General features: G+C 37.6%; 1 protein-coding gene, 1 long non-coding RNA gene and 1 pseudogene across 12 annotated transcripts in view; 1 reads left to right on the top strand and 2 right to left on the bottom strand.

Annotated features, from left to right (window-relative positions):
* Positions 1-10,950, top strand: part of LOC124904162 (uncharacterized) — a 104,986-nt gene extending 94,036 nt beyond the window's left edge. The window contains exon 2 of the long non-coding RNA XR_007066034.1: positions 10,611-10,950. This is a non-coding gene — a long non-coding RNA (uncharacterized LOC124904162). The remainder of the gene's footprint in view (positions 1-10,610) is intronic.
* Positions 1-20,090, bottom strand: part of CCDC30 (coiled-coil domain containing 30) — a 201,084-nt gene that overhangs the window by 75,420 nt on the left and 105,574 nt on the right. For all 11 annotated transcript variants that reach the window (NM_001355226.2, NM_001395384.1, NM_001395517.1 and 8 more), the window contains 3 exons: positions 15,296-15,475; positions 4,542-4,751; positions 257-411 (listed from right to left, as the gene is read on the bottom strand). In NM_001355226.2, coding sequence (NP_001342155.1) covers positions 257-411; positions 4,542-4,700 — 314 coding nt within the window. In that variant the 5' untranslated portion in view covers positions 4,701-4,751; positions 15,296-15,475. The remainder of the gene's footprint in view (positions 1-256; positions 412-4,541; positions 4,752-15,295; positions 15,476-20,090) is intronic.
* RNU6-536P (RNA, U6 small nuclear 536, pseudogene) lies at positions 12,633-12,737 on the bottom strand (annotated as a pseudogene).

Genomic DNA, 20,090 nt, shown 5'->3' with positions numbered 1-20,090 from the left:
AGGTGTGCCCCAGAACCAGAAGAAATAATCTCTGCCTTTAAAAATCTCACACTCTAGCGCCAGAGGTAAACTAGAAAATAAACAATTAGAATACAGTGTGGTAAGTGCAATACATCAGGAATTGTGTGTGGCTGAGTTTACTTCAGTGGGGACAGAGCAGAAATACTCTCTGATATTCTGTTAGAAAAAATTGATATTGCTGATTAACTCAGTCATGGCTAAACCCACAGGAAACTGAGATCTCTGCTCCTCTTACCTCTTCTGTTGTTCTTCTTGATATTGTTGCTTTACTTTAGCTTCATTTTGTGTTGCTTCTTTTATCTTTTCCTCTAGCTGCTGCTTCTCTGAAATACAAGTGTCTGTGAGACAGACTTTATGAGCATGTTCTAATTTCCGCTGCAGGTCCAAAATCTTGAATGAAAAAACATTTACAAGTAAAGCATTAAGAAGAGTGTGACCTTTTTTCAAATTAGGGGAATAACATATAAATAGCAAACATAGCAGTGCTAACATATTAATCTGACCTGAAGTAAAAAGAGTAGCTAGATTTAATTTTAAAATAAATTGTTTAATTTTTGCAGTATGTAATGCATTCATATAATTCAATGTGTGTATATAAAAGAAGCTACAGGCCAGACATGCTGGCTCACGCCTGTAATCCCAGAACTGTGGGAGGCTGAGCTGGGTGAATCGCTTGAGCCTCAGGAGTTCGAGACCAGCCTGGGCAACATGGTAAAACCCCATATTTACAAAAAAATACAAAAATTAGCCGGGCGTGGTGGTGAGTACCTGTAGTCCCAGCTACTCAGGAAGCTGAGTATTTGTTTGTTTGATAGATAATGCCAAACTGCCTCCACAGGTATTAGACCAATTTATACTCCCAACAGCATTGTGAGTGCACCTAGTTTCTCCACAGTGTGGCTAGATTCATGAATAACACTGCAAAACAAAATAGAAGTCTCTTATAAACCAAGCACCTATTAGCATATTGCTTAGCATCAATAATAGGTTTTTTAATGCTCTGGGAGAACTAAAAATATGATTTACAAATTTGAAAGAGAGACTGTTATATTTTAGAGTTTATATGACAGATTTAAAGTGTCATTTAAAAACATTTTTTTCTTGCCTTTTTCATGTAGCAGCAAAAAACCCCCACATTTTTTAAAGATAAATTTCCTTTACACTTGTTTACTTATTTTTATAAACTCTTGTGTCACCTTAAATTGTGCCTCGTACATAGTAGGTGCTCAATAAATATTTATTGAATGAATAGATTTCGGCAGGGTAGCTATTATCCCTCTAATATATTTCTGACCCAACAAGGAATCTTTTACAATGGCTTGGCATCACATTCCCCACAAATATTCAGTGAATGCCAGTGGGTGTCACCCGTTTTCTAAGAGAGGGGCTTTCTGCATCAATCCCAAGCCCCTGCACCTAGGTCTCTGCATAGCCCACACAGCATGAGAGAGAAGAAGATGCAGAATGATTCAAGGGGAATGGTAGTAGGCAGCCAGCCATCTGAGGCCAGCTCAAGTTCCTTGGAGCTGTTCTATTTAGTTCTGTCTAGGGAGAATTCTTACTTAAGGAATTCAGTACTAATTCCACAGACAAAAGCATCACCTCATTGGCTTCTCTGTCAAGGATACATCCAAACTTTTGAACCTGCCACACAATTTAAGAAAGGGAACATTTCCAATACTTGAAGCCCATTGTGTGACCCTCTTTGATTATCCCTCATCCCTCTCCACCAGAGAAAACCAATATCCTGAATTTTGTGTTAATCGCATCCTTGCTGTTCCTTTTTAATATATGAGAGGTTTTTTTTTTTTGAGATGTGCTGTTGCTATATTGCCCAGGTGATCCTCCTGCCTTAGCCTCCAGAGTAGCTGGTACTACATGCATGTGCTACTATGCCCAGCTAACTTTTTTATTTTTGTAGAGATAGGGTCTCACTATGTTGCTCAGGCTGGTCTTGAACTTTGGGTTCAAGTGATGCTCCCATCTCATCCTCCCAAAGTGCTGGGATTACAGGTATGAGCCACCATGCTAATAGTCCCTTCCTTCCTTCCTCCCTTCCTCCCTTCCTTCCTTTCTTCCTTGCTTCTCTCTCTCTTTCTCTCTCTCTCTCTTTTTGAGACAGAGTTTCGCTCTTGTCACCCAGGCTGGAGTGCAATGGTGTGATCTCAGCTCACTGCAACCTCCACCTCCCGGGTTCAAACAGTTCTCCTGCCTCAGTCTCCTGAGTAGCTGGGATTAAAGGCACGTGCCACCACACCTGGCTAATTTCTGTATTATTAGTAGAGATGGGGTTTCACCATGTTGTTCAGGCTGGTCTCGAACTCCTGACCTCAGGTGATCCACCCACCTTGGCCTCCCAAAGTGCTGGGATTACAGGTGTGAGCCACTGCGCCTGGCCATTCACCTCACCTGGCCACTTGCCTCGCCTCGCCTCTCCTTTCCTTTCTTAAAAATAAGTTAATTCAGCCAGGGCGGCTCACGCCTGTAATCCCAGCACTTTGGGAGGCTGAGGTGGGTGGATCACGAGGTCAAGAGATCAAGACCATCCCGGCCAACATGGTGAAACCCCGTCTCTACTAAAAAGTACAAAAATTAGCTGGGCATGGTGGTGTGCACCTGTAGTCCCAGTTACTCAGGAGGCTGAGGCAGGAGAATCGCTTGAATCTGGGAGGCAGAGGCTGCAGTGAGCCGAGATAGCGCCACTGCACTCCAGTCTGGTGACAGAGCGAGACTCTGTCTCAAAAACAAAAACAAAAAAAGTTAATTCTAGGGAAATGGCTGTTCCATAGACACAGCAGGGCTACCCCATAGGCAGAGTAGCCTGGATGCTCTTTCTTTGCAACTGATACAAAGTGGGGGAAAGAACTCAGATTACCAGTAATACTACCATATACATATACAATTTATTTTTTTGATCTTTTGCCAGGGGACATTTGGGTTGTTTCTAGTTTTCTGTTATTCGGAACAATGATATTATGAACATGACTATATTCCTGTTTCCTGATACATACATGCATGTAACAGTTTTTCTTATGCCTAGTAGAAGTGTTAAGTTGTATGATGCACACATCTTTAAAACATTTATACTAGTTAACTCTTCCAAGTGAAGTTAATATATATGAGTTCTTGTTGCACCAAATCCTCACTAATATTTAGTATTGTCTAAGTTTTAAAATCTTGCCAATCTTTACCAATTTTACCAATTACTTTTTAATGGAATTATAACATCCATATGGTAAAGTAACCTACATATATACATATGGTGAATAACATACATGTCTTAAGTGTACTCAATGAAATCTGACTTGTGTATCTACTTCCCCGACCAAGATATAGAATACTTGCAGCACCACAGAGGATTCCCTAGTGCCCCCTTCAGTTAATACCTGTCACAAGAATAACCACTATCTTACTTCCATAGCTTAGTTTTATCTATTCTTGAACTTCATACTATACATAGAATTGTATAGTAAGAACTCTTTTGTTCTGGTTTCTTTAACTCAACATTAGATTTTTTTAGTTTAATTCAGATTGCTGTCATCTACTTTTTGATGTTTGCTTCATATTATATGGTTTGATGAAATTTTTTTTGTCGAATTTAACTCTCAAACTTGCACATCAAAATGTACAACTGTTACATACTACTGCCACCTAGTGTCGGGCAATCTAAAATGAAGGGACAATATTTCAAAATGGTTCATTTCACAACACAAATCCCCCTACAAAATTACAAAATATGTTTGATGTGATGAATATGATAATTACCCTGATCTGATCACTATACATTATATCTATTGAAACATCACTATGGGCCAGGCGCGGTGGCTCATGCCTGTAATCCCAGCACTTTGGGAGGCCGAGGCGGGTGGATCACGAGGTCAGAAGATCAAGACCACCCTGGCTAACACGGTGAAACCCCATCTCTACTAAAAATACAAAAAATTAGCCGGGCGTGGTGGTGGACGCCTGTAGTCCCAGCTACTTGGGAGGCTGAGGCAGGAGAATGGCGTGAACCTGGGAGGTGGAGCTTGTAGTAAGCCGAGATCGCACCACTGCCCTCCAGCCTGGGTGACAGAGCGAGACTCCCTCTCAAAAATAAATAAATAAATAAATAAAAATAAACATCACTATGTACCCCATGAACACGTACAATTGTTTGTCAATGAAAAAAACAAAATTAAAACAACATTTACATTAACAGCCAATCCAAATGAGAGAATACGCCTTCTCAAATGTGAAAATATAAAACAAAGGCCACATGGGATCAGTCAGTTCTTTAAGTTCATGTTATCGCTTTAATAAAACTGACCTTTTTAAGCCCATGAAGTTTTTACAAATACACAAGAATTCCTAAAATTGTAGGAACAGGTGAAATCAAAACAGAAGAAAACATGGGAGAGAAAAAAAATCTTAGAATTCTATCAAGTCTGCATCATATTTATTTCTTAAAATCCTCAGGGAAATAAGATTTCAGTAGTGGTATTCAGTGTATGCTGTTTATTAAGCATGAGGATAATTACCTTTTCCTCTGCATCAGCAACTTTAGATTTCTCCTGAACCAGCTTTTCCTGTAGGTTGTTCTGTGATTTAATGCTCTGAGTGTGTTTAAGTACTTCCAACTCCAGTTCCTTGATTTTCTGCTGACAGTGCTTGTACTCTGCCGTGAGTGAAGAGCACATCTTTGTGCTGTCTAATAACTTCTGTTGGGCATGCTTTAGTTCAATCTTTATCTAGAGGTAGAGAATAAGTAAGAGTAATACAAATAAGTGTGGAATGAATGTGAACTAGAATAAGCAGCTTTCAAAGGAGTATAGTCCCCTAAAAGCCAACAAATACCAATGTCACATGGCTGAGTACCTCTTTAGAGCTGCCATGTAAGAGTTTCCAAAGTGTAGACAGATGGCAGTTAGACAAAGGAATTTTCCTGAGTTTCTATATATGCATGGTCTAAACATTTTCCATCCTTTCTTCAATCTAGTCCAAACTGGCTTTCATCCCCACTACTCCAGTGAAACTTTCTGCCAAGGGTACTAACTGACCTCTTCATTGCCAAAATAAATCCAATGGACAAGTGACTTCTCAGTAGCATTCTGTGACACCAAACTTTGCTGGTTTTCACTTAGCTCTCTGCTGTTCTTTCTTGGTCTTCTTTGTAGACTCTTCTAATGCTACCCAACATGTGAGTATTATTGGACACTTCTAGGCCTAGAGAGTAGATGATTTGCTATCCATTTCTATAATTTGAAATGCCATTTTATGCCAATACTTGCCAAAATGAAACTCCTTGATTCTGCCTGTATCTCCAAAGTCTTTTTTTCTCTGTCTTCCCAATTTCAGTAAATAATGCCACCATCCAAACTTTTGTGCAGGTCAGTAATCCCTGAGTCTTCCTTTTCCATTATGAACCAATTCCAATCATTTAGCACATGCTGTCATTCTATCCCCACAATACAACTTGCATTAATCCATTTGTGTCATTTTTTTTGCCACCACTCTAGTCTGGGGCATCATCTCTAGCCTGGGCTACAGCAACTGCCTCTGCACTGGTCCTACCACTTCCATTTTTACTCTTTTCTAATCTATCCTCTAATGCTGTGGCCAAATTTTCTTTTAAAAACATAAATTGAACTACTTGACACCCCTGCTTAGAATCTTTCAGTGGTCCCTCACTCCAGATCCCACCAGCTTGCCTGGTTTTGTACACTCTGGCCCTTGTCTATCTCTTTAAAACTATCTTGTTATTTCTCCTTCTCCCACTGTAACTCCTGTCACACTGGTTGGTATTAAGAGTTTCCAATACACCAAATTTTTTCCACACTTCCCTCTGCCAGAAATGCTTTCCCTTTTCCCTTCTCATTGTATGGTTGCCTGCCTATTCTGCAGGTCTTAGCTTAAATGTCACTTTGCAGGGGGCAATTTTCAGAATCATTTAATCTGAAATGTCCTTACTCATCACTGTACCACATTTGTTTCCTTCATCAAACATACCATGATTTATAATTAAGTATGCATTTATATACCTGTTTATATCCCCTTTCCCCACTTTAAATTCCAAGAAAGCAGAGACTATGTTTTTTTGTTTGTTTGCTTCTTTTTTTTTGAGACAGGGTCTCTCTCTGTCGCCCAGGCTGGAGTGCAGTAGCACAATCTCTGCTCACTGCAAGCTCTGCCTCCCGGGTTCACGCCATTCTCCTGCCTCAGCCTCCTGAGTAGCTGGGACTACAGGCACCCGCCACCATGCCCAGCTAATTTTTTTGTACTTTTAGTAGAGACAGGCTTTCACCAAGTTAGCCAGAATGGTCTCGATCTCCTAACCTTGTGATCTGCCCGCCTCGGCCTCCCAAAGTGCTGGGATTACGGGTGTGAGCCACCGCACCCAGCCAAGACTATGTTTTTAATTCATGTCTTAATACCAAGGCCTATCAAAGAACCAGAGAGTAGGTGATTAAACAATTATTTACTGAGCAAGTAAATGAATGATATTCTAAAAAGTATCAGAACGTAGTGAATGTATACACTGGGCAGGGAAGGCTCATAGACAAAAGTGGTGAGAGAGAATTTACTTTGTTTTAATGGTAAATAGAATTCCCTGGTCTCAAAGCTTTTCAACTGAATTAACAGGGATGATAGCTATAATGTCCTTCATCTGTGCTTTCTCTATATTAACCAATCAGATTATATAAAATGAATCTAAAATTTAATTGTGTTCAACCACTTTGAGCATCAGTTTCTTCATCTGTAATATGGGGATAATAACTACTTACCTCATAGGATAGTTGTGAGGCTGCATTAAATGAGACAAAGCAATTAAAGCCTCAAGAATAGAGCCAGACACATAGGAAAGACCTAACAACAGTTAAGTGTTGATATTCAATAATTGCTTTTAGAATATCTACTGCATTTGAAATACAGAGCTGAGGCATATGCTAATATTACTACTTTACATTTGTTAGGCTTTCACATCTATGAAGTGGCTGGGATTGGTATTTTAGCCCATTTTAGAGATAAAAAACTGAATCTCAAATAGTTGCCAGATGATAGAATCAAGGTCTGAATATAGATTTTCTGATTCTAATCCAGTACTCTATACTATATTTACTCTAAACTGTGAAATATGTGTATTTATTATTTCTCTAAAAAGAATACATTAGAGTGGATCAACAAGCTAAAATTTGGTTCTTTAAACAGTCTAATAAAATGAATAAACTTCTAGTGAGACTGATCAAAGAAAAAGCAACAAGGCAAAGGTAACTAATATTATAAAAGTGAAATGACCATCATTATATATCTTTTCTTCTTTTTTTCAAAAGCTACCTTTGTTAAAATATATACATTTTAAAAAGAAGACAAGATTAATAAATTTCTGTAAAACTTTAAAAAATTTAAATGAAATGGAAACTTTAGAAAAATAAAATATAACAAAGTTGATGCAAAAAAAAGAAGAACTTGACTTCTCATAACTATTAAAGAAATGGAACTAGAAATTGAAAACCTACCCAAAAGAAAGCAAAATCAGAAGGCTTTAGGGATGAGTTTTTTGCAATAATTTAAGAAGAAATCATTGTAACTTAATACAAACTCTTCTAGAAGACAGAAAAAGAGGGTATATTACCCATTTTTATTTTAAGAGGCTAGGATAACCTTGATATCAAAATCTGACAAGGGCATTGCAAGGAAGTAAATGACAGACTAGTCTCACTTTTGAGCAAAGTTGCAAACATCCCAAAGACATATTAGCAAGCCAAATCCAGCATTGTAGGAAAAGAATGATAATTTATGATGAAGTTAGGTTTATCCCAGGAATGCAAAATTGGATTAACATTAGAAAATCAGTCAAAGTAATTCAGCATATTAACAGATTAAAATTTTTAAAAAACCTTCTCAAAATATTCAGAAAAAAATTTATGAAATTCAACATGTATTTGTCATAAAACATTGAACAAACTAATGCTAGAAAGCAATTTCCTTAATGTAATAAATATTTTTATTTATTTTTCTTTCTTTCTAAAGTACATTTGGATAAAATATCTATTTTTAAAAAGCTATAAAAACATACTAAATGGTGAAATTTGAGAGCTTTTCCTTTGAGACTGGGAATTAGAAAAGGATGCCTACTGTCACCAGTTCTATTCAGCACTGTGGTAGCCAGTAAACAGAACAAGAAAAAAGAATGAAAGGTTTAACATATGGAAAGGAAGAAAGCAAATTGTCTTTAGATGATATGATTACTTGCATAGAAAATCCAAAATAACATATACATACATTGTAAGAATAAAAAAGTATGGGAAAGTTTTTATTAGAAAATGATTATATATTTTCTATATATTGGGAAATAATTAGAAAATGAACATTTTTAAAGTTACCATTTATAATAGTATGGAAAATATCAGCACCTGTGAATATGTCTAACAAAAGATATATAAGAAAATTTAAATATTGAGAGAAATTAAAAACCTAAATACACATACTCTCTTCTTAAATTAGAGGATTCAATATTGCAAAGATTTAAATTCTGCCCAAATTGACCTATAGATTCAATGTAATTCCAACTGAAATCCCAAAAGATTGTGTGTCAATATTCATGGGTTCTATGTGAGTTCATGTGAGTATTTGTGTGTAGCTTAACAAACTGATTATAAAACTTATATAGGAACCCCAAAGGCCAGGAATAGCCCAGATATCCCAGAAAAGAAGAACAAGGTGAAAAGATTTGTTCTATCAAATGTTAATATTTATATAAAGCTAAAATAATCATGATAGCATAGTATTGGCACAAGGGCAGACAAATAGAATAATGGAACAGAATAGGGATCTCAGAAATATGCCACAATAGGCTGGGCACGGTGGCTCACGCCTGTAATCCCACACTTTGGGAGGCTGAGGTGGGCAGATCACCTGAGGTCAGGAGTTCGAGGCCAGCCAGGCCAATATGGTGAAACCCTGTATCTACTAAAAGTACAAAAAAATTAGCCAGGCATGGTGGTGTGTGCCTGTAATCCCAGCTATTCGGGAGGCCGAGGCAGAAGAACTGCTTGAACCCAGGAGGCAGATGTTGCAGTGGGCCAAGATCATGCCACTGTACTCCAGGCTGTGTGACAGAGTGAGACTCCATCTCAAAAATAAATAAGCAAATACATAAATACATAAATAAATGTTAATGTAGAATAGCTTTATGACTTTGAAGTAGTAAGATATTAAATCAGACCCCAAAAATCACTAGTTATAATGAAAAATAATGAATATTAAAATTAAAAACTTTGATTCATCAAAAGATATATAAGGAGAATGAAAATGCAAGCCACAGAGTCGATGTTTATAATACATACCTGATAAAGGGTTCATGTATTTAAAAAACTTCTATAAATTAATGAAAAAATTAAAATGACAGAAACCCCAAATAAATATGAACAAAATCTTGAACAAGCACTTCACAAAACAGAAATTCAAATGCCAATTAAATGTATAAAAAGCTGCTCAACCTTGTTTGCAAACAGGCAAATGCACACTAAAACCACAAGGAACTACTGCTATACACGTATACTAGGTTTGCAAAAATTTTAACGTCTGACAGTTCCAAGAGTTGGTGAGGATGTAGAGCAATGGGAACCTTCAGACACTGTTGGTGGAAGACTTTAGAAGGAGTTGAAGTAATACATATTCTATGATAAAATAATTCCACTCCCAATCTCTTCCTAGAGGAATGTGTACTTATGGACATCAGGATACATGTGCATGAGTGTTCATTGCAGCACTCTTTAAAAAGTAGAAACCTTACTCAGTTCTATTCATATATCTTGCTACTCAAGAAAGAATCTGAAATTCATTGACTGAACATATCTGAAATAATGTGCTGTTAAACCCTCTGTTCAAAGGCAAAGTTCTTTCAATAAAAGCTGCTCAAGTGTGTAGAGTGCTTAGCTTATGAAACCTCATTTCCTCATTTTTCGTTAATTTTTGAAGACCAGAAATGCCATTTCCAAAAATGTTAGTGGACACATAAAAATGGTCAAACGCTTTGTTAAACACAATGAAATGAGTGTATGTAGAAGTAAAGAAATTAAACCCTAAGAGCAAATGCCTTGATATCATTGGTGGATCAATGTAGGTCAACAGGAAAAAATGTAATACGCTTATCTCATTGATATTACCAAAAAGAAATTCTCAATCAAGTTTTAATAAACTTCCTATTTTTCTAGTAAAAACCCATTTCCCACCTTGCCATTCTAAACCAGCTCACCTTCTGGTTCATTTTTTTTTTTCATTTTCTCATTTTATTTTGGAGGGTTGGTATAACTTTTGAAATTTCAATGATAAGAACAAATCTATTAGCTGTTGACTTCTTCTAAAAAGGCACTCCAGCCTTTTAGAAAGCCTAGAAGTTTCATTTTTCAAGAACAATCTTACTATGAAAAAAGTAAGACACAGACAATGAATAGATAAGAAACAAATCAAAGAAAAAGAAGAAATCAAGTGTTCTGGAATATTTGGTAAATTGAATTTGTTCAAAATTAAGAAACCTAAACATCTCATTGTAAACAGAAAGGGTACATACAAGTCCTTTCATAATATATTGTCTATTTACTCCACAGGCCAAGAAAGGTAAAGGCCTCTTGGGCCTGTGATCAAAGAGTCAACACTTAAGGTTTTGGCGATGCTGGTAATGATGAAATAAGACAACACTGGGGCAAACACTGTTATGGCCAATGACCTATGCATCCAAGGCAGCTTCTTCAGCTTCAAGTTGGGACAGTCGAGCACCAAGAAGAGGATCTACATCAGCGTCTTGGTACTGGTGGTGACAAAGCAGCAATCTGCCTGAGGCTCTGCAAGCCTACAACATTCTTTTTAACATCCCCAAGCTGGAAACACGTAAAATGTCCATAAGCCACAGAAAAAATAAATAAAGTATGGCATTTTCTTACAATAGAATACTATATTGTAAAGAAAATGAATAAATAATGGCTATACACTATAACAGGAATGAATCTTGCAGACAAAGTTATCATAAGGCAGACACAAGGTATAAATACTGATTATATTTTTGAAATATAATTTTGAAAAATAGGGAAAACAACTATATTGTATGAGATTCATAAATAGTTGATAAAACTATAAAGTAAAGCAAGAGAGTTATTACCAAAATTAGCAGTTACTACTAATTTTGGGTGGTAAGGTGATGGGATTATGATGGGGACAAGGTGTGCAGGGGCCACTAGTGTGCTGGCATTGTTCTATTTCTTCTCCTGGGTAGTGTTTAGTTGTCTATTTACTTTATGACTACTAGGTAAACTGTATGTTTTATGCATTTTCTAAGTGTTATATTTTATAACAAAATGATTTAAAAGCAATAAGTTAGTATTTTGGTTTCTTTTTCTTTTTTTTAAAGAAAAAGTGATATTTTAATGTTTATTTAATTTTTTTTTTGAGACAGGGCCTCACTCTATTACCCAGGCTGGAGTGCAGTGGTGTGATCATAGCTCACTGCAGCTTCAAATCCCTGGGCTCAAGCAATCCTCCTGCCTTGGCCTCCCAAAGCCCTAGGATTGTAGGCTTGAGCCACTGCACCAAGCCACTATTTTTATTTATTTTTAAATTTTTAAATAATTAATTTATTTTAGTTTTAAATTATACTTTAAGTTCTGGGATACATGTGCAGAACACGCAGGTTTGTTACATAGGTATACATGTGCCACGGTAGTTTGCTGCACCCATCAACCTGTCATCTACATTGGGTATTTCTCCTAATGCTATCCCTCCCCTTGTCCCCCACCCACTGACAGGCCCTGGTGTGTAATGTTCCGCTCCCTGTGTCCATGTGTTCTCATTGTTCAGCTCCCACTTATGAGTGAGAACACGCAGTGTTTGGTTTTCTGTTCCTGTTTTAGTTTGCTGAGAATGATGGTTTCCAGCTTCATCCATGTCCCTGCAAAGGACATGAACTCATTCTTTTTTATGGCTGCATATTATTCCACGGTGTATATGTGCCACATTTTCTTTATCCAGTCTATCATTGATGGGCATTTGGGTTGGTTCCAAGTCTTTGCTATTGTGAATAGTGCTGCAATAAACATACATGTGCATGTGTCTTTATAGTAGAATGATTTATAATCCTTTGGCTGTATAGCCAGTAATGGGATTGCTGGGTCAAATTGTATTTCTGGTTCTAGATCCTCAGGAATAGCCACACTGTCTGCCACAATGGTTGAACTAGTTTACACTCCCACCAACAGTGTAAAAGCGTTCCTATTTCACCACATCCTCGCCAGCATCTGTTGTTTCCTGACTTTTTAATGATCGCCATTCTAACTGGCATGAGATGGTATCTCATTGTGGTTTTGATTTGCATTTCTCTAATGACCAGCGATGATGAGCTTTTTTTCATATGTTTGCTGGCTGCATAAATGTCTTCTTTTGAGAAGCGTCTGTTCATATCCTTCACCCACTTTTTGATGGGGTTGTTTTTTTCTTCTAAATGTGTTTAAGTTCCTTGTAGATTCTGGATATTAGCCCTTTGCCAGATGGACAGATTGCAAAAATTTTCTCCCATTCTGTAGGTTCCCTGTTCATTCTGATGATAGTTTCTTTTGCTGTGCGGAAACTCTTTAGTTTAAAAAATACGGAACGCTTCACAAATTTGCGTGTCATCCTTGCACAGGGGCCATGCTAATCTTCTCTGTATCATTCCAGTTTTAGTATATGTGCTGCTAAAGTGAGCATGTGTTTTTGTTTCTTAGTCTCATAAGTATGCCTAACATTAGCTAGATACTCAAGTTTGATAATTTGAATGGATTTTTTTTTTTTTTTTTTGAGACAGATTCTCACTCTGTCGCCCAGACTGGATTGCAGTGGCCCGATCATGGCTCACTGCAACCTCTGCCTCCTGGATTCAAGCAATTCTCATGCCTCAGCCTCCCGAGTAGCTGGGACTACAGGCGTGTGCTACCATGCCCGGCTAACTCTTTTTTTTTTTTTTTGGACTTTTAGTAGAGATGGGGTTTCGCCATGTTAGCCAGGCTGGTCTCAAACTCGTGAGCACTTTAAGTGATCTGCTCACCTCAGCCCCACAAAGTGCTACGATTATAGGTGTCAGCCACTGCACCTGGCCTTGAGTGGATTTTTAAAAGTGAGTCCTAAGTTTGTAAAGCTGAGGTTCCAAAATGACCCAAATTGAGGAGGGGTGTAATATGGCAAGATGTCTATAAAGGAAAGAGAGAAACAAACTTGACAAGTTCTGACTCTATAATTTGTTAGCTTTGCAATCTTGAACAGTTTCCTCATCCATAAAGTGCTGACCCTTTAGGGTTGTGAGGCTGTTCGTAAGAGATAAAGTAGACAGGCAGTGCCCGGTGGCTCACACCTGTAATCCCAGCACTTTGGGAAGCTAAGCCGGAAGGATCACCTGAGGTCAGGAGTTCGAGATCAGCCTGGCCAACATGGTGAAACCCTGCCTCTACTAAAAATACAAAAATTAGCTGGGCGTGGTGACATGCGCCTATAATCCCAGCAACTCAGGAAGCTGAGGCAGGAGAATCTCTTGAACCTGGGAGGTGGAGGTTGCAGTGAGCAGAGATCATGCCACTGCACTTCAGCATGGGTGACAGAGCGAGACTCCATCTCAGAAACAAACAAACAAAAAGAGATAAAGTGGACAAACTCTCAATAAAGGATACTCATCATATATAACTTTCATAGGTGCCTGGCCAAAGGAGCTAATCAAGAGGCTGATGTCTTATTTCTAAATGGCCAATAATTTATCTCACCATGGAGATTAAAATAGACAAAAAAAATTCTCTCTCTCTTTTTTTTTAAATTTACTGCATGCTCTTTACAAACAGTGAAAAATAAAAATCTTCTCTTGTTACCAAGCTATCATTTATCCATCCCTGAAAGACTGTTCATTAATCCAATAAATATTTATAGGGTACCAATCATATGTAAGGCATTATAATCTGTGTAGTTCTGGCCATTGTTCCTTAAGAAATATGTAGTATTGTTAGAATATGTCCCGAGTTGGAGAGTTAAAATGATCTAAGAAATGTCCTTGAAGGGAAAGTGAAAGACTGTCTTATAAGAACATGTGATAAAGATTTAGAATTTAATTTAAAACTACAAAGGCTTGAAGGAATATGATCAGTCTTCAAAAACTCATGAAGGGTGAGGACAGGGAAGAGGTTTATTCAAATAATCCCGGAATACGAGAACTCCCTTAGAAGGCCTTCCTTGAAGTTTGGGATAAACGGATATTTGTTTTCCTCTATATCTCCCCTACTAGACTGTGAGCTCTTGAAAAGTAGGGACCTTTCTTATCCATGTTTATGTCACTTTTCAAATAAGATCATTTTATCCTGCTATACCAGGTGTGGGCAAACTTTTCTCATAAAGGGCCAGGTAGTAAATATTTTAGACTTTGTGGGTCATATGGTTTCATCACAACTATCAAATCTGTTGCTGTAGCACAAAAGCAGTCATAATATATAAACAGACAGATATGGCTGCCAATAAAACTTTATTTATAAAAACAGAAGGCAGACAGAATTTGACCTACATGCCAAAGTTTGCTGACCCCTGCACCATGGGGATAAGGATTTTTGTGCCTACCATTAAACTCTCAGTGTGTCTACAAGATTGCATATGAATATTGAATGTTGAATTTTAGAACCTTCAATAGAGGCTTATAGAAACTAAGTCCTTAATGTATATTTACAGAATTGAACCATAATTAAGAGGAAGTACTATTTTACACGGAGGTTAATTTTAAACATTTATGTGGTCCATAAAATTTAGTTGAATCTGTGTATGGCAGTTCTACATAGATTATTTTTAAACAAGCTTTTGGGGGATGTTGCCTTAACTATTTCATGCTGTTGTATTAGGAAGAACAACTTTGTTCTCCCACGAATTGTACCTTGGTGCAGTTGAGATCTGACTGAACCAATAATAATGGATACATCTAATAGGGATAAATAAGTCTAGTGATACACAGGGCAGGACAACCAGGGTTTAGGGCTCGGGTCACTGAAGTTTAGTAAGTACTAAAAATTTTAGATAGTGTTTTCAGAAGATTATGTAATTTAATGCCTTTTTCTATTTACAGGTTGATAATACACACATTCTTACTTAGCAGGGAAAAGTTAAAGGAGGAAGTTACCAGATAGCTCACATTGTCCACATATTTGTGGATCCTATCATGAATTATCAAGTAGAGGAACTTAGATTCGTTTATTCCCAGGGCCAACTGAAACCCTTCCATAAAGCATTTGCCCACAAGAGTTACCTTAATGTTTTCTTCCTGAAGTAAGCTATTATGTTGCTTTAAGTCCAAGTTCTGCCCTCGTTCATATCGAAGCTCATTTTCAGCTGAGTTGCATAGAATCTGGAGCCGGTGCAAATTCTGGTGAAGTTGTTGTACTTCCCCTTGCTGGTTGTATTTTAGTTTTTCTCCAGATGATGGATGCTAAAGCAAACATTTTAAAAGAGAAACACAGACAATTGGAAAGAATATTGGTAAAACATGGGTTCAAGTTGTCAGAACCGGAATTGTCAGAATGTGATTATTCACATGTAAATGTTTTTGGAGTTAGCTTATCTACAGCAAACTACTCTTTTACATTTATGGATAGTTGATACATGTTCATATAATACATGTTATATTAGAGTGAAAATAACAATAAAATTATGTTAACAAAAGCAGTTAGGCACAGACAACTTACCTTATTTTTCATATCAATGATAGAAGCACAGACAATTTTAGGGTAAAACACATTTAAAATGGGAAGTTCAAAGAGTCCATATGTTAAGAAGTAGAGTGTGAATGTGTGTGTGTGTGTGTGTGTCTGTGTGGTGTCTGTTGGCAAAAAGAAAGAGGAAATTTAGTAAGAGACCTTAAGTTTCTAGCCTTCCTCATCACTTTCTTTTATTTCCCGATGATTCTTCTCCCATAAACACACTCCCATAAAACACATTCTTTCAAGGATGAATAGTATTACATTGTGTACACACACACACACACATCACTTCTGCAGATATCTCTTTGACATACTGGTTTCATATCCCTTGGATATATACCTGGAAGCGGAATTGCTAGATCATATGGGTAGCTCTATTTTTAATTTTTTGAGGAACCTCCATACTGTTTTCCATATTGGTTGTACTAATTTACATTCCCACCCACAGTGTCGAAGTGTTCTATTTTCTCCACATCCTTGCCAACACTTACCTTTTGTCTTTTTGATAAAAGCCATTCTAATAGGTGTGAGGTGATATTTCATTGTGGTTTTAATTTGCATTTCCCTAATAATTCACGACGCTGAACATTTTTTCACATACCTGTTGGCCTTTTGCACATCTTCTTTTGAGAATGTCTATTTGCATCCTTTGCCTATTTTTAAATTGGATTATTTGTTTTCTTGCTATTGAGTTGTTTGAGTTTCTTATATATTTTGGGTATTAACCCCTTATCAGACGTATGATCCATAAATATTTTTGCCCATTCTGTAGGTTGTCTTTTTACTCTGTTGATTGTTTCCCTTGCTGTGCAGAAGCTTTTTAACTTGACGCAACCCCATTTGTCTATTTTTGCTTTTAGAGTCACATCCAAAAAATCTTTGCCAAGAAAAATGTGAAACATTTTCCATAAGTGTCAATCAATGGATGAATGGAAAAGAAAATATAGTATACACACACAACACAAACACACATACAATGCAAAACTGTTCAGCCTTTAAAAAGACAGAAATCCTGTCATTTGTCACAACATGAATGAACTTGGAGGGCATTATGCTAAGTGAAATAAGCCAGGCGCAGAAAGACAAATACTGCATGATCTCACTTATACGTGGACTCTGAAAAAGTTGAACTCATAAAGTTGAACTCACAGAAGCAGCAAGTAGAATGGTGGTTGAGAGGCTGGGGAGGGGAGGCATGGAATGGGAAGATGCTGGTCAAAGGGTGCAAAGTTTCAGATAGACAGGATAAATTCTGGATATGTACATAGTGACTATACTTAATGTGTTGTATACTTGAAAATTGTTAAAAGAGTAGAGCTTAAATGTTCTCACCACAAAAAAGTATGTGAGATGATACATATGTAACTTAGCTTGATTTAATCATTTCACAATGTACACATAAATCAAAACATCAGGTTGTACATCACAAACATACAACATTTGTCAATAATCCTGAATAGGCTGGGCGTGGTGGCTCACGCCTGTAATGCTAGCACTTTGGGAGGTCAGGAGTTCAAGACCAGCCTGGTCAACATGGCGAAACCCTTAGCTGGGTGTGATGGTGCGCACCTGTAGTCCCAGCTACTTGGGAGGCTGAGGCATGAGAATTGCTTGAACCCAGGAAGTGGAGGTTGCAGTGAGCCAAGATCATGCCATTGCACTTCAGCCTGAGTGACAGAGACTCTGTCTCAAAAAAAACAAAAATCCTGAATAAAGCTGTAAAAAAAGCACATGTATCAAACACCAGCAATACACTTTCCTATCAGGCTTCTTCAGTGAAATAAGAGAATAGTCATTTGGATTTTCTACAAAGGTAGGCACAAGTAGTATGCTGAATAGATAAAGAATTCAATCTTATACAATTCAATAGATAAGATATTCTTAGAGTTTCCTTAGTCCTGGTCCAGTATGCTCCTGTCTACAACTTTCTAAAAAGCCCATGTCATTATTTTAGTTTTATCTTGCTTATGTCCCTAAAGTAACACAGAAGCCCTCAAGTCCTGTTAACTCTTCAATTCCTATTTTGGTTTAGCTAGAAAGGCAATCTAAACACAATATGCTTTTCTTAGAGCTGCAAGATCCCTAGGAAAAAAAAATCTTCAATGGGTTATAATGTAATTATGAAGAAGCCTCACTTTTTTTTTTTTTGAGATGGAGTCTCGCTTTGTCGCCCAGGCTGGAGTGCAGTGGTGCGATCTCAGCTCACCACAACCTCCGCCTCCTGGGTTCAAGCAATTCTCCTGCCTCAGCCTCTTGAGTAGCTGGGATTACAGGTGCGTGCCACCATGCCCAGCTAATGTTTGTATTTTTAGTAGAGACGGGGTTTCACCATGTTGGTCAGGCTGGTCTCCAACTTCTGAAGGTGATCCACCCGCCTTGGCCTCCCAAAGTGCTGGGATTACAGGCGTGAGCCAGCGCGCCCAGCCACTTTTTAAAAAAATTTCTTCTAAAAAAAACCAGGATACATAGTCAGAATGTGCAGGTTTGTTACATAGATATACGTGTGCCATGGTGGCTTGCTGCACGTATTGACCCATCCTCTAAGTTCCCTCCCCTCACCCCCTACCCCCAACAGGCCCTGGTGTATGTTGTTCCCCTCTCTGTGTCGATGTATTCTCAATGTTCAACTCCCACTTATGAGTGAGAGAACATGTAGTGTTTGGTTTTCCGTTCCTGTGTTAGTTTGCTGAGGATGATGGCTTTCAGCTTCATCCATGTCCCTGCAAAGGACATGATATCATTCCTTTTTATGGCTGCAAAGTATTCCATGGTGTATATATACCACATTTCCTTTATCCAATCTATCACTGATGGGCATTTGAGTTGGTTCCATGTCTTTGCTATTGTAAATAGTGCTGCAATAAACATATGTGTGCATGTGTCTTTACAGTAGAATGATTTATATTTCTTTGGGTATATACCCAGTAATGGGATTGCTGGGTCAAACTGTATTTCTGGTTCTAGATCCTTGAGGAATCACCATGCTGTCTTCCACAATGGTTGAACTAATTTACATTCCCACCAACAATGTAAAAGCATTCCTATTTCTCCACAGCCTCGTCAGCATCTATTGTTTCCTGACTTTTTAATAATCGCCATTCTGACTGGCATGAGATGGTATCTCATTGTGGTTTTGATTTGCATTTCTCTGATGATCAGTGATGTTGAGCTTTTCTTCATATGTTTGTTGGCCACGTAAATGTCTTCTTTTGAGAAGTGTCTGTTCATATCCTTCACCCACTTTTTGATGGGGTTGTTTTTTTCTTGTAAATATGTTTAAGTTCCTTGTAGATTCTAGATATTAGACCTTTGTCAGATAGGTAGATGGCAAAATTTTTCCCCCATTCTCTAGGTTGCCTGTTCACTCTAATGATAGTTTCTTTTGCTGTGCAGAAGCTCTTTAGTTTAATTAGATCTCATTTTGTCAATTTTGGCTTTTGTTGCAATTGCTTTTGGCGTTTTTGTCATGAAGTCTTTGCCCATGGCTATGTCCTGAATAGTATTGCCTAGGTTTTCTTCTAGGGTTATTGTGGTTTTGAGTTTTACATTTAAGTCTTTAATCCATCTTGAGTTAATTTTTGTTTAAGGTGTCAGGAAGGGGTCCAGTTTCATTTTTCTGCATATGGCTAGCCAGTTTTCCCAGCACCATTTACTGAATAGGAGAGCCTTTCCCCATTGCTTGTTTTTGTCAGGTTTGTCGAAGATAAGATGGTTGTAGATGTGTGGTGTTATTTCTGAGGTCTCTGTTCTGCTCCATTGGTCTATATGTCTGTTTTGGTACCACTACCATGCTGTTTTGGTTAATGTAGCCTTGTAGTATAGTTTGAAGTCAGGTAGTGTGATGCCTCCAGCTTTGTTCTTTTTGCTTAGGATTGTCTTGGCTATATGGGGTCTTCTTTGATTCCATATGAAATTTAAAATAGTTTTTTCTAATTCTGTGAAGAATGTCATGGTAGTTTGATGGGAATAGCATTGCATCTATAAATTACTTTGGTCAGTATGGCCATTTTCCTGATATTGATTCTTCCTATCCATTAGGATGTTAGGATGGAACATTTTTCCATTTGTTTGTGTCCTCTCCTATTTCCTTGAGCAGTGGTTTGTAGTTCTCCTTGAAGAGGTCCTTCACATCCCTTGTTAGCTGTATTCCTAGGTATTCTCTTTGTAGCAATTGTGAGTGGGAGTTCATTCATGATTTGATTCTCTGCTTGCCTATTGTTGGTGTAAAGGAATACTTGTGGTTTTTGCACATTGATTTTGTATGCTGAGACTTTGCTGAAGTTGCTTATCAGTTCAAGAAGTTTTTGGGCTGAGATGATGGGTTTTTCTAAATATAAAATCATG

Source organism: Homo sapiens, chromosome 1, assembly GCF_000001405.40.
Source record: "Homo sapiens chromosome 1, GRCh38.p14 Primary Assembly".
Classification (NCBI taxonomy): domain Eukaryota; kingdom Metazoa; phylum Chordata; class Mammalia; order Primates; family Hominidae; genus Homo; species Homo sapiens.
Note: the sequence above shows the minus strand (reverse complement) of the source record. Positions and strands in the feature narration are given on the sequence as shown.